The 14,670-nt window shown below is 45.3% G+C and overlaps 1 protein-coding gene and 1 pseudogene across 1 annotated transcript in view, besides 3 other annotated features; one reads left to right on the top strand and one right to left on the bottom strand.

The window, feature by feature from the left end:
- Positions 2,778 to 14,670, bottom strand: part of DHTKD1 (dehydrogenase E1 and transketolase domain containing 1) — a 54,268-nt gene continuing 42,375 nt past the window's right edge. Inside the window, exons 13-17 of the mRNA NM_018706.7 lie at positions 12,935 to 13,099; positions 8,244 to 8,326; positions 7,081 to 7,250; positions 5,732 to 5,817; positions 2,778 to 5,212 (exon numbers count right to left, since the gene is read on the bottom strand). Coding sequence (NP_061176.4) covers positions 5,111 to 5,212; positions 5,732 to 5,817; positions 7,081 to 7,250; positions 8,244 to 8,326; positions 12,935 to 13,099 — 606 coding nt within the window. The 3' untranslated portion in view covers positions 2,778 to 5,110. The remainder of the gene's footprint in view (positions 5,213 to 5,731; positions 5,818 to 7,080; positions 7,251 to 8,243; positions 8,327 to 12,934; positions 13,100 to 14,670) is intronic.
- Positions 3,281 to 3,370: an enhancer, noted in NCBI's record as "active region_3036". NCBI's record gives its function as "activates an Ori minimal core promoter by ATAC-STARR-seq in GM12878 lymphoblastoid cells {active_cell/tissue: GM12878}" and the evidence as "EXISTENCE:reporter gene assay evidence [ECO:0000049][PMID:35858748]".
- Positions 4,111 to 4,160: an enhancer, noted in NCBI's record as "active region_3035". NCBI's record gives its function as "activates an Ori minimal core promoter by ATAC-STARR-seq in GM12878 lymphoblastoid cells {active_cell/tissue: GM12878}" and the evidence as "EXISTENCE:reporter gene assay evidence [ECO:0000049][PMID:35858748]".
- Positions 4,221 to 4,360: an enhancer, noted in NCBI's record as "active region_3034". NCBI's record gives its function as "activates an Ori minimal core promoter by ATAC-STARR-seq in GM12878 lymphoblastoid cells {active_cell/tissue: GM12878}" and the evidence as "EXISTENCE:reporter gene assay evidence [ECO:0000049][PMID:35858748]".
- On the top strand, positions 9,620 to 9,719 carry RNU6-88P (RNA, U6 small nuclear 88, pseudogene; annotated as a pseudogene).

Here is a 14,670-nt window from a genome sequence, read left to right as displayed (position 1 = left end):
AGATTGTGCTTTATCAGATTTAAATAAAATGACAATGAATTACTATTTCTATAGAGTAAGAGCTTTTGGGGTTTTTTAATTGATGAATGCTAGATGTACATACTTTCAAGGTGCATGTGATAATTTAATACATTCATATAATTTGTAAATATCAAATTGGTGTATTTGGGATATCCATCACCTTAAATATTTGTCTTTTCTTTATGATAGAACCATTTGAATTCTCCTCTAGCTATTTCACAATGTATAGTAGATATTGTAAACTATGGTCACCTACTGATTAAACTATGGTCACCTACCGATCCATCTAACAGTAGGTCTTATTTCTTCTATCCAACCATATATTTGTACCCATTAATCTACTTCTTTTCATCACCCCACCCCTTCCCCTCCCGACCTCTGATACCACCGATCTACTCTCTATCTTCATGAGATCCACTTTTTTTTTTTTTTTTTTGAGATGGAGTCTTGCTCTTGTCACCTTGGCTGGAGTGAAATGGCATGATCTCAGCTCACTGCAACCTCTGCCTCCTGGGTTCAAGCAATTCTCCTGCCTCAGCCTCCCCAGTAGCTGGGATTTACAGGCATCCGCTACCACGCCCGGCTAATTTTTTGTATTTTTAGTAGAGACAGGGTTTCACCCTCTTGGCCAGGCTGGTCTCAAACTCCTGAGCTCAGGTGATCCACCCGCCTTGGCCTCCCAAGGGGCTGGGATTACAGGCATGAGCTACCGCGCCTGGCCAAAATCCACTTTTTAAGCTCCCATGTGAGTGAGAATATCCAAGTTTTGTCTTTCTGTGCTTGACTTACTTCACGTAACATGATGACTTCCAGTTCCATCCATGTTGCTACAAATGACAAGATTTTATTTTTTTTAAATGGCTGAATAATATTCCATGGTGTATATGTAACTTATTTTCTTTAATATCCAAATACATATAAGAAAAATGTAGGTGAAGCTTTTGGAACCTAAAGACTCAACAGTCTTGATCCTTAATCTGTGACTTCCTTCCAGTGTAATCTTTTTTTTTTTTTTTTTGGGCGGGGTAACCCTTTCATTTCTTCAATTTTGTAAAAGGGCCAGGTGTGGTGGCTCACGCCTGTAATCTCAGCACTTTAAGAGGCCAAAGCGGCCTAACGCTGACACAGAATCACTTGAACTAGAAAGGCGGAGGTTGCAGTGAGCCAGGATCGCACCACTGCCCTCCAGCCTGGGCCACAGAGCGAGATTTGGTCTCAAAAGAAAAAAAGAAAACCTTAGTAACTTTATACTTGTATCTTATTTATATCTATTATTTATATCTATCTATGCCATTTTAATGTTCAATGAGGACTAAACCTTAAATTGGGTATTCAAGAAGTAGAAATAGTAGCAACCATGGAAAAATGTTAGTTTTGTCTGAAATGACAAATTATTCTTAGTAAAATAAAAAATTTTTTAGTGAGAATAATAACTATTTTGCTTAGCTTTTCTGTGTCTTGCATACACATGCTATTTGGGAAAAATACTATGAAGCTTAGACATCTTTAGACTGACTATATTACCTTTGAAATTTTATTATTTTTTAATAATTCCTTGGTTGACAATAAAAATACTATCCCTTTTACACTTTTTTTTTTTTTTTTTGAGATGGAGTCTTGCTCTGTTGCCCATGCTGGAGTAGTTCAAGTGATTTCCTGCCTCAGCCTCTCAAGTAGCTGGGACTACAAGCATGCGCAACAACGCCTGGCTGATCTTTGTATTTTTTAGTAGAAACAGGCTTTCACCAGGTTGGCCACACTGGTCTCAAACTCCTGACCTCAGGTGATCTGCCCACCTTAGCCTCCCAAAGTGCCGGGATTACAAGCATGAGCCACCACGCCTGGCCTACTAAATTTTTAAGGGAAAAAAAGTAATGAGTATTTGATTTGGAATTCCTCAAATGGTCCCTCCCTGCAAGGGAATGTAAAATGCTGATCCATGTTGCAGTAGTGATTGAGAGTAGAAAGGTTAAGCCAACAGAAGACACATTTCATGACTCGAGTTAGAGAAGACATAAAAAGAAACCATGAACAGACTGTGAGGTGTAAAATTAGAAATTTGGAGAGATCCACCAGTCACAGTGGCTCACGCCTGTAAACCCAGCACTTTGGGAGGCCAAGGTGGGCGGATCATGAGGTCAGGAGATCAAGGCCATCCTAGCTAACATGGTGAAACGCCATCTCTGCTAAAAATACAAAAAACTGGCTGTGGCACGTACCTGTAGTCCCAGCTACTCGGGAGGCTGAGGCAGGAAAATCTTTTGAACCCAGGAGGTGGAGGTTGCAGTGAGCTGAGATCGCACCACTCCAGCCTGGGCGACAAAGTGAGACTCTGTCTCAAAAGAAATTCGGAGAGATTTAAAGTAACCTTTTATTTTTTGAGACAGAGTCCCGCTCTGTCACCCAGGCTGGAGTACAGTGGTGCAATCTCGGCTCACTGCAACCTCCGCCTCCCGAGATCAAGTGATTCTCCTGCCTCAGCCTCCCAAGTAGCTGGGATTACAGGCATGCACCACCATGCCCTGCTAATTTTTATATTTTTAGTAAGAGACGGGGTTTAGCCATGTTGGCCAGGCTAGTCTCGAATGCCTGACCTCAGGTGATGCACCCATCTTGACCTCCCACAGTGCTGTGATTACAGGCGTGAGCTACCACGCCCAGCCTAAACTAACCTTTTACAAAGATCTAATCTTCCATCTCATTTTTGTGCTTAGACTTTTGAAATCTTTTAATTCAAGAAGTCCAGGAGTCCTGAGGAAAAAAAATGACAATGTGCTTTTATTTTTTTTCTTGTTAAAAAAAAACAACATTGGTAAATCGTTTTCATTAAATAGACCTTTGTGATTTTACTGATTTACATGAGTGGCACTAAATTACATGATTTATAAGGCTTGACACAGGAAGGATACACTGAGGTATATGGTAAGAAAAGGGATATGAATACTAGAGAAATGTTAAATTGATAACTAAGGCACACTTTCGGATGTGAATCATAAATCTACCACTGTGGCTAGAACAGCCTATATGTACATGGATTCTGAAAGACATGATCAGTTGCTGGTAAAAGTAGAGAGGGCCTGGGCTTCTGCCAGTCCCCTGGTACTTCCCACACCACTTCAGAGAAAAAGCATCATGACACAAGCACAGTAGATGGTAGAGGCCCCCAGCACTGAGTCAGGTGAAGCTACATGGTTCGCTGTTTAGTTACGTTTCCAGTACTTGGTTTAATTTCACAGTGAGGGAGTCGGTTGGTGATCTCTAAGAAATCCCCAAGCACCTGGTGTTGGGAAAGTCCCTCAAATAAAGAAGTGTTCTTTTCTTTTTTTTTCCTCTCTCTCTCTTTCTATTTATTTATTTTTTGAGATGGAGTCTTGCTCTGTCACCCAGACTGGAGTGCAGTGGCAGGATCTCAGCTCACTGCAACCTCCACCTCCTGGGTTCAAGCGATTCTCCTGCCTCAGCCTCCCGAATAGCTGGGATTACAGACACCCACCACCACGCCCAGCTAATTTTTGTATTTTTAGTAGAGACGGGGTTTCACTATGTTTTGTCAGGCTGGTCTCGAACTCCCAACCTCAGGTGATCCACCCATCTCAGCCTCCCAAAGTGCTGAGATTACAGGCGCAAGCCGCAGCGCCCAGCCAAGAAATGTTCTTTAAACATCACAAATAAACATACTGCATCAGGGACTTGTAGGGACAAGACTGATTAACCAGGGGCTGAAATCCCCATATCAGAAACCCCAGACAGTTAAAAATAGTAAGATATCACTGTAAGAACAATTTAAAGAAAAACAAGTTTACGGCAAAACAGACTACAAATCAATTTCATTATAACTAAAACTCCTTAATTTAAAAATACAGTACTAGAAGATCATCCACCCAGAGATTTGTATTTAGTAGGACCTAGATTTGCTAGTGTTGGGGAGACACTTCATACAGTGACTGGAAAGCAGCACCAGAGATTACATAAAATGAAAATATTAGTACTGCCACAGGACTTTCAAAAAGGAGGGGGAAAATTAATGAAAGTGACATGCATCAAACAAATCAAGAGGCAGTGTTGAGGTCATCTCCACGGAGCTGTAAACTCAGAAGTGTTTCCTGGTCATATATGGTCAATTAGGGTCAAGTCTGAAATCATCTAGATAATGACCTAGTTTTCCAGCTCACTCAGAGCTAAAATCCATAACACTATCATACTTTCCTTTTAATTTATGAGATGGAGTCTTGCTCTGTCGCCCAGGTTGGAGTACAGTGGCGCCATTTCGGCTCACTGCAACCTCTGCCTTCCAGGTTCAAGCAATTCTCCTGCCTCAGCCTCCGGAGTAGCTGAGACTACAAGCGCATGCCACCACACCCAACTAATTTTCATATTTTTAGTAGAAACGGCGTTTCACCACGTTGACCAGGCTGGTCTTGAACTCCTGACCTCAGGTGATCCAGCCGCCTAAGCCTCCCAAAGTGCTGGGATTACAGGCGTGAGCCACTGCACCCAGCCATCACACTTTCTTTTTTTGTTATTGTTTTTCTTTTGTTGTTTTCCTATTTCTACCATCACACCTTCAAGGATAAATTTGCTGGTTGCATTCACATATTCATAACCAGTTCCCCTGGTTATTCCACCTATTGCAGATTAAATCACGTATATCAATCCCAACATCTTAGAGGAATACAGTCTTTTCATGTTACCCAACAGAGGGGTTGAGAGAGTGGAGGAAGGAGGCCTCTTTTAATGGGTTTTTTTTTTTTTTTTTTTGAAACGCAGTCTTGCTCTGTCACCCAGGCTGGACAGCAATGGTGTGATCCTGGCTCACTGCAACCTCCGCCTCCCAGATTCAAGCGATTCTCTTGCCTCAGCCTCCCAGGAAGCTGGGATCACAGGTGCCCACCACCACACCCGGCTATTTTTTGTATTTTTAGTAGAGGCGGGGTTTCACCGTGTTGGCCAGGCTGGTCTCGAACTCCTGACCTCAGGTGATCCACCAGCCTTGGCCTCCCAAAGTGCTGGGATTACAGGCATGTGCCACCCCACCCGGCCTTAATGGCCATTTTCTTAAAGAGAAATAGTGTTTCTTCAAAAGTCATCATCAAGCGAAGGTCTTGGCGAGGATATCTTCATGCTGGTGCAAGTGAACTGTGCCAATTCCTACAGCGGGTACTGGCAAAGGGGGCCGGCCCACCAGACGGAGCTATAAGTGCAGCAGAGAAGAAATAAAATGACATTTTGACTAGATCAGAGCTCTGCTTAGTTCCAACAAGACAGTGCATGTATTTCTCTTAGCTTGTTTAACCATAAATCACCTCTTTCAAATAATGAGTTACGCAGAAGAGATTAGAGGGACAGGGCTCCGTGCCTCAATGCCTGTAATCCCAGCGCTTTGGGAGGCCGAGGTGGGCGGATCACGAGGTCAGGAGATTGAGACTATCCTGGCTAACATGGTGAAACCCCGTCTCTACTAAAAATACAAAAAAAATTTAGCTGGGTGTGGTGGCGGGCGCCTGTAGTCCCAGCTACTTGGGAGGCTGAGGCAGGAGAATGGCGTGAACCCGGGGGGCGGAGCTTGCAGTGAGCTGAGATTGCGCCACTGCACTCCAGCCTGGGCAACAGAGTGAGACTCTGTCTCAAAAAAAAAAAAGAAAGAAAGAAAGAAAAGAAAAACAACATGCACACAAAACACAAAACACTACCAGAGAAAACGTGTGATTACCTTGCAGGCCAGCTGCTTTTCAAACCTTGGAGAAACAAACGACCACGGACCCATGTTCTGAGGTTCCTCCTGACTCCAAATATGATCTATGAGAGAAGAAATTCTTTCAGCACCTCAAGTAGACACATGCAGACGGTCCCCAATTTACTATGATCCCACCTACGATGGAGTTTTCAACTTTACGATGGTGTGAAAGGGATTCACATTCACTAGAAACTGTACTTCAAGTACCCATACAACAGTTCTGTTTTTCACTGTTGGTACAGTATTCGATAAATTATCTGAGATATTCAACACTTCATTATGAAATGTAATAGATTTTGTGTTAAATGATTGTGCCCAACGATAAGCTAATGTGAGTGTTCTGAGCATGTTTAAGGCAGGCTAGGCTAAGCTGTGTTTTGTAGTTTAGGTGTATTCAATGCATTTTCTTTTTTCTTTTTTAAGTTCTGGGGTACACATGCAGGATGTGCAGGTTTGTTATGCAGGTAAATGTGTGCCACGGAGGTTTGCTCCTCAGATCATCCATCACCTAGGTATTAACCCAGCATCCATTAGCTGTTCTGCCTGATGCTCTCCCTCCTCCCCCATGACCCTCGGACAGGCCCCATATATGTACCAAATTTTCTTTCTTTTTTTTTTTTTTTTTTTTGAGACGGAGTCTCGCTCTGTCGCCCAGGCTGGAGTGCAGTAGCGCAATCTCGGCTCACTGCAAGCTCCGCCTCCCGGGTTCACGCCATTCTCCTGCGTCAGCCTCCCAAGTAGCTGGGACTACAGGCGCCCGCCACCACGCCCGGCTAATTTTTTTGTATTTTCAGTAGAGACGGGGTTTCACTGTGTTAGCCAGGATGGTCTTGATCTCCTGACCTCGTGATCCGCCCACCTCGGCCTCCCAAAGTGCTGGGACTACAGGCGTGAGGCACCGCGCCCCGCCTGTACCAAATTTTCATGTTTTTGTGTCTTTTTTTGACACAGAGTCTTGTGCCCAGGCTGGAGTGCAGTGGCACAATCTCGGCTCACTGCAACCTCCGTCTCCCAGGTTCAAGCAATTCTTCTGCCTCAGGCTCCCAAGGAGCTGGGACTACAGGCGCCCGCCACCACGCCCGGCTAATTTTTTGTACTTTTAGTAGAGACGGGGGTTCACCGTGTTAGCCAGGATGGTCTCAATCTCCTGACCTTGTGATCCACCCACCTCAGCTTCCCAAAGTGCCAGGATTACAGGTGTGAGCCACCGCGCCCGGCCCAAGATTCAATTTTCTAATAACCCCCACCACATCTTTTCATTTAAAAGAGCTGAAATGGGTTTTGGGTATCTGAACATCAAAACCCAAATGAGAACAACCTCTTACCTTTAACATGTTTGTATTTGCTCATCTCTTGCTGTAAAGAATCCAACGGGAAGGGGCAGAGTTCCTCTACTCGGATGATGGCAAAGTCATGCTTCTTGGCCCCCAGAGATTCTCTTTGTTTCACCAGGGAGTAGAAATGTTTGCCGGAGCAGAACACGAGGGTCTTAACCCTGTTGGACAGAAAAGGAACAATAGGGTGGGGGAGAAATTTTTTAAAGTAAGAATTACGTCAGAAGAGGCCAGGTGCAGTAGCTCACGCCTGTAATCTCAGCACTTTGGGAGGCCAAGGCGGGCGGATCACGAGGTCAGGAAATCAAGACCATCCTGGCTAACACGGTGAAACCCTGTCTCTACTAAAAATACAAAAAATTAGCCGGGCGTACTGGCGGGCACCTGTAGTCCCAGCTACTCGGGAGGCTAAGGCAGGAGAATGGCGTGAACCCGGGAGGCGGAGCTTGCAGTGAGCCAAGATCGTGCCACTGCACTCCAGCCTGGGCGACAGAGCAAGACTCAACCTCAAAAAAAAAAAAAAAGAGAATTATGTCAGAAGAAACGGGAGACAGTGCAGATTTAAAGTCCTCATGAACAAGGTGGTGGGGGTCTCTGCAGCCGAGTTCAGTCACAGGCTATTCCTGGGGACCCTTCTTCAGCAACATGCGCCTACAAAGTCCACTTTCCCACCCACACTTAACTCATACTCCACTGACTTAAAGGACTTAGGATAGAGGAGGCCAGGCATGGTGGCTCACGCCTGCAATCCCAGCACTTTCAGAGGCTGAGGTGGGTGGATAACCTGAGGTCAGGAGTTCGAGACCAGCCTGGCCAACATGGTGAAACCCCATCTCTACTAAAAATAAAAAAATTAGCAGGGTGTGGTGGCGGGCACCTGTAATCCCAGCTACTTGGGAGGCTGAAGCACAAGAATCACTTGAATCCGGGAGGCGGAGGTTGCATAGAGCTGAGATTGCACCACTGCCCTCCAGCCTGGGCAATAGAGCCAGACTCAGTCTCAAAAATAAATAAATAAATAAATAAATAAATAAATAAATAAATAAAAATAGGAGAGGGGAGATCTGCATCACCTGTGATCTCTTAATGTGAACTACTTTTCCCATTAATTAAAATTCTGCCACAGAATATGAAAACAGAGATACATATCTTACTTTTTTGGATCCACAGATGAATCACCAATGACCGGGTTAAATGTTGTTCCTGGTGCCATTTCTTGAAGAGTTGACACGGCTGCCTACGAGGGAGAAGAGGCCACACATCCAGCAAGCAACAGAAAGAGGTGATGCTGTCACTTACAAGGGCCGCTATCAAACACGAGTACCAAAGTTCTAGCCTAGCACTGCAAGGAGACCCATGTCCTAATAGACGCAATGCCTTGCCAAAAAATATCAGTTCTGTATACTTCAGGGTAAAACTATGTTTCTGAGGTTACATAAGATAGCCTTTTGGAATCTTAACACTTTGGGAGGCCAAGGCAGGAGGATCGCTGGAGGCCAGTTCAAGACCCGCCTGGGCAACATAGCGAGACTCCCTTTGCACCCCCTACTCCACCATCCCCACTGGTGCCTTGCCTCTATTAAAAAAAAAAAAAAAAAAAAAAAAGGTGCCGTGGCTCATGCCTGTAATCCCAGCACTTTGGGAGGCCAAGGTGGGCGGATCACCTGAGGTCAGGAGTTTGAGACCAGCCTGGCCAACATGGTGAAATCCCATCTCTACAAAAATATAAAAATACAAAAATTAGCTGGGCATGATGGCGGGTGTCTGTAATCCCAGCTACTCAGGAGGCTGAGGCGGGAGAATTGCTTGAACCCAGAAGGCAGAGGGTGCAGTGAGCTGAAATCGCACCATTGCACTCCAGCCTGGGCAACAGAGCAAGACCTCATCCGAAACAAAACAAACCAAAACTGGCCAGTTGCAGTGGCTCCAGCCTGTGATCCTAGAACTTTGGGAGGCTGAGGCAGGTGGATTGCTTGAACTCACAAGTTTGAGACCAGCCTAGGCAAGATGGTGAAACCCCATCTCTACAAAAAAATACAAAAATTGGCCAGGTGTGGTAGCGCATGCCTGTAGTCCCAGCTACTCAGGAGGATGAGGTGGGAGGCTAGAAGTTTGAGCTTGGGAGGCGGAAGTTGCAATGAGCCATGATCATGCCACTGCACTCCAGCCTGGGTGACAGAGCCAGACCTTGTCTCAAAAAAAAAAAAAGAAAAGAAAAAGACTGGGCGCGGTGGCTCATGCCTATAATCCCAGCACTTTGGGAGGCAGAGGTGGACAGATTGCCTGATATCAGGAGTTCAAGACCAGCCTGGCCAACATGGTGAAACCCCGTCTCTACTAAAATTATAAAAGTTAGCTGGGCGTGGTGGTGCATGCCTGTAATCCCAGCTACTGGGGAGAGTGAGACACAAGAATTGCTTGAACCTGGGAGCCGGAGGTTGCAGTGGGCTGAGATCACACCATTGCACTATAGCCTGGGTAACAGGAAACTCCATCTCAAGAAAAAAAAAAAGTAAAAAGATTGCCTTCTGTGCTCATTTTGGCAGCACATATACTAAAATTAGAACACTGCAGAGAAGATTAGCATGGCCCCTGCACAAGGATGACAATAAAAATTAAAAAATGAATTTAAGAAAAGATTACCTTTTGCCTGGTGCCACGACATAATTTTAAGAATCAGGCCAGACGTGGTGGCTCATGCCTGTAATCCCAGCACTTTGGGAGGCCGAGGCAGGCATATTGCTTGAGGCCAGGAGTTTGAGACCAGCCTGGCCCACATGGCGAAACCTCGTCTCTATTAAAAATACAAAAATGAGCCAGGCATGGTGGTGCATGCCTGTAATCCCAGCTACTTGGGAGGCTGAGGCAGGAGAATTGCTTGAACCCAGGAAATGGAGGTTGCAGTGAGCTGATATTGTGCCATTGCACTCCAGCCTGGGTGACAGAGCAAAACTCTGTCTCAAAAAAAAAAAAAAAAAAAATTGCTGGGTGTGGTGGCACACACCTAATAGTCCCAGCTACGTCGGAGGCTGAGGCCTTGCTTGAACTCAGTAGGCAAAGGTTGCAGTGAGCTAAGATTATGCCGCTGCATGCCAGCCTAGGCAACAAAGCGAGACTCTCAAAATAACAAAAAAAAGAAAAAAAAGAGCCCCATCAGAAAAATGGTGCTAAAGGCATTGCATTAACTCTTCCTAAATGTTTGGTGATGCTTCCAGGCTTATGAGGTCACCTAGAAATATATAAGGTTGTTTGCGAAACACTGGGTGAGAAAGAACCGGTAGACCACTATAAGTGAACTAAAAATGAATGGCTGCTATTGGTAAGACTACTGAAATCCATTTCCTGGCTATTGACTAGATACTGACTCCCAGGGCCAGGCTAGGGTGAGTCAAGTAAGGTACCTAGTGCAAAAAGTTTAAGGAGGCACTGATTTTAGGGCCATGAAAATATCGCCCCTGAGAATGAGTACCTCCCTACTCCCCTCTGAATGCTAAAAACTGCTTAAAACAACGAGGCCAGGCATAGTGGCTCACACCTATAATCCCAGCATTTTGGGAGGCCGAGTCAGCCCAATCACTTGAGGCCAGGAGTTCGAGACCAGCCTGGCCAACATGATGAAACTCTGTCTCTACTAAAAATACAAAAATTAGCTGAGCATGGTGGTACAAGCCTGTAATCCCAGCTACTGGGGAGGCTGAGGCTGGAGAATTGCTTGAGCCTGGGAGGCGGAGTTTGCAGCGAGCGAGCCAAGATCGCGCTCTCCACTCCAGCCTGGGCAACAGAGCGACACTCCATCTCAAGAAACTGTTCAAACAGGCCGGGAGCGGTGGCTCATGCCTGTAATCCCAGCACTTTGGGAGGCCGAGGCGGGCGGATCACGAGGTCAGGAGATCGAGACCATCCTGGCTAACACAGTGAAACCCTGTCTCCACTAAAAATACAAAAAATTAGCAGGTCGTGGTGGCAGGCGCCTGTGGTCCCAACTACTCAGGAGGCTGAGGCAGGAGAATGGCCTGAACCCGGGAGGCGGAGCTTGCAGTGAGCCGAGATCGCAGCACTGCACTCCAGCCTGGGCGACAGAGCGAGACTCCGTCTCAAAAAACCAACCAACCAACCAACCAACCAACCAACCAACCAACCAACCAAGGGGTGGAAGCAAATCACTCGCAGCTTTTCTTCAGTACCCCTCAATTCCAAATATACACTCTCGAACCTTTGTGAGCAGCACAAGATATTCTTGAATGGCCAAATTCTAAACGTCTTATTTCACCTCAGCAGTCATATCCAAATAAATGTAAAAACTGTAATACTCCCGGCCGGGCACGGTGGCTCATGCCTGTAATCCCAGCACTTCGGGAGGCCAAGGCAGGTGGATCACATGAGGCCAGGAGTTCCAGACCACCTGTCCAACACAGTAAAACCCCATCTCTACTAAAAATACAAAAATTAGCCAGGCATGGTGGCGAGTGCCTATAATCCCAGCTACTCAGGAGGCTGAGGCAGGAGAATCGCTTGAACCCGGGAGTTGGAGGTTGCAGTGAGCTGAGACAGCACCACTGCAATCCAGCCTGGGTGATAGAGTGAGACTCCGTCTCAAAAAAAAAAAAAAATTTAATACTAATTCTAATTAAAACTCATATGAACCTGAAAAAAGTATAGCAGATGGGATAAATATATGCTTAGTAGTATTTATTATTTTGAACATTTCTATTTGGAAACTAGCATATTTTTGTGATTTGAAAAACAATGTACACTTAACAGATAAATAGGTAAACCTACGTATGTGTTAAATGATAAAATGATAAATTTCACGCCACTGCACTCTAGCCTGGGCAACAGCACAAGACTCCATCTCAAAAAGAAAAAAAAAAAAAAGAATGACAAATAATGCCACTCATTTTCAACAAAATACTTTGAATTCCCAAATTGCTGCTATCAAAAAAAATAGTGCTTAGACCATATGGGCTTTAAAACTTTTTCTTTTCTTTTTCAGACAATGTCTTGCTGTGTTGCCCAGGCTGGAGTGTAGTGGCATGGTCATACGTCACTGCAGCCTTGAACTCCAGGGCTCAAAAGATGCTCCCATCTCAGCCTCCTGAGCAGCTGACAGCACAGGTGTGAGCCACCACACCGGCCAATTTTTTTTTTCAGAGATGGGGTCTTGCAATGTTGCCCAGGTTGCTCTCAAACTCCTGGGCTCAAGCAATCCTCTTGCCTAGGCCTCCCAAAGTCCTGGAATTATAGGCATGAGCCACCATGCCCAGCCTAATAGCCTAAAAGCTTTTCTAAATAGTATTTCTGCTCAGGAGGGCACTAGTATAACATCTGCTATCCCTGTCCTTCATTACAATTGACAGAAAACCTACCTATCTTTCCAGGTAGTCTTAAAAGGCTGTTTAAAAAATGAAAGCAGGCTGGGTGTGGTGACTCACGCCTGCAATCCCAGCACTTTGGGAGGCCGAGGCGGGCGAATCACCTGAGGTCAAGAGTTAGAGACTAGTCTGGCCAAGATGGCGAAACCCCATCTCTACTAAAAATACAAAAATTAGCTGGGTGTGGTGGCACATGCCTGTAATCTCAGCTACTTGGGAGGCTGAGGCGGGAGAATCGCTTAAACCCAGGAGTCAGAGGTTGCAACGGGCCGAGATTGCACCATTGCACTCCAGCCTGGGCGACAGAGCAAGACTGCGTCTCAAAAAACAACAAAAAAAATGAAAGTAGCAAAGTCAGTTGAAACTAAAAAGGTGTTTCTGTAATTTAAATATAATTAGATATGGAAAATAGGGAAAAATGGAGTGCAAAAAATGACAAAAGGAGGAAGGCTTATTCACCACCTTCTGCTTACCGGGAGCCTGAGTAACATCTTAGGGGAAGCAACAATGAGTGGTTTTCTGAAGTTCCGGACCATCTGTCTCCTAAGCAAGTGGAAATACTGTGCAGGAGTTGTTGGGTGAACCACAAACATGTTCACAGTGTCTCCGTCCACCCCCTCTTCCGCACTGTCACACATCTGGGAGAGAAGTGGCAAGAAAGGAGAAGAATGTTCAGATCATCTATTTCAGTCGTAGTGACAATGGGCTGGCCAAAGGGAAACACAGGTGTTCTTGATTATAGCAGAAAAGCTATTGCCCAACATTACAGAAAAATATCAGCAGGTGAATTTATGAACGGTGCGGTATTAACCAAAGGAGAGCTCTGATGGCTTTCTCCACTGGCCCAATTCTGTGTCATCTAACACAATTGTTCCCAAACACGGCTGATAGCAAAGATAATCTGGAAAGGACTTTTTTAAAAAAAATACATATTCTGATTACTACAGGGTTAAGACAGGGGAAGGAAGCACTATCAGAATCTCACTTTCCTAATGTAATAAAACGATTGTGTGTGTGTGTGTGTGTGTGTGTGTGTGCACGCGTGCTTTAAGACAAAAATCAAAAGCAGCTAATAGAAAGGTTGAAAAATTGAGGGCAAGGAAGTTAAATCTCAGAAGATCCTGGTGGGACAGAAAGCTGAGGCATAACTCCTAACCCTTCCCCAAAGGCAGTGAAAGGAAAGAAAGAGAGTTGACAAAATCTGGACAATTATTTTTGTTGTTGTTACAGAGTCTCGTTCTCTCACCCAGGCTGGAGTTCAGTGGCATGATCATAGCACACTGTAACCCCAAACTCTGGACTCAAAAGCAATCCTCCCACCAGAGCCTCCCAAGTAGCTGGGACTACAGGTGCCTGCTACCACACCTGACTAATTTTAATATTTTTGTAGAGATGGGGTCTTGTTATGATGCCCAGGCTGGTCTCAAACTCCTGGGTTCAAGCGATCCTCCCGCCTCAGCCACCCAAAGTGCTGGGATTACAGGCATGAGCCACCATGCCTGGCCTCAATCATGATCATCTTCTTTTTGCATACACCCTTGATTCCCATGACCCTTCACTCCAACCCATAAACCTAGTTAATCCCCACTTTCTGCCTGTTCCATGTCTGCAGAGAAAGTAGCTGGAGACAACACAAAATCACACCAATGGTCTTACTTTAGAATCCTGACCAACAGTCTGAGATGGGCCCTTAGTGACCTTAGACTCTTAAACTCTATTTCCCTAACTCACTCATTCTCCTTCTTTCCCAGGTGACTAATTCACACCTTTAAACTCAGGACCTCCTCCTGCATCACCACTCTCAGCTAATGACCTAACAGCATGTCCTCAGACCATCTACACACACATTCTCACTTGCACTCATCTTCTCTGCCTTCCATTTATTGCCACCAACCATGCTGCTGTCTAAAGCTAATTTAATCCATCATGTACTAGAGCCCACCCCATTTTACCAATGCAAGGAAATCACTCAGTTATTCTATCAGCACCCCTACATCACCATTCTCTTCTTGTCTACTGGATCATGCCTATCACCAAACAGGCCTTATTTCCTACCTTTAACACAAAACAAAGGCCTGGCGCGGTGGCCCATGCCTGAAATCCTAGCACTTTGGGAGGCCAAGGTGGGAGGATCACATGAGGTCAGGGGTTCAAGAGCAGCCTGGTCAACATGGTGAAACCCCATCTCTACTAAAAATACAAAAATTAG

The sequence above is a fragment of the Homo sapiens genome, chromosome 10, assembly GCF_000001405.40.
Source record: "Homo sapiens chromosome 10, GRCh38.p14 Primary Assembly".
NCBI lineage: Eukaryota > Metazoa > Chordata > Mammalia > Primates > Hominidae > Homo > Homo sapiens.
The sequence above is the reverse complement of the archived record's forward strand: the minus strand, read 5'-3'. Positions and strand labels throughout refer to the sequence as shown.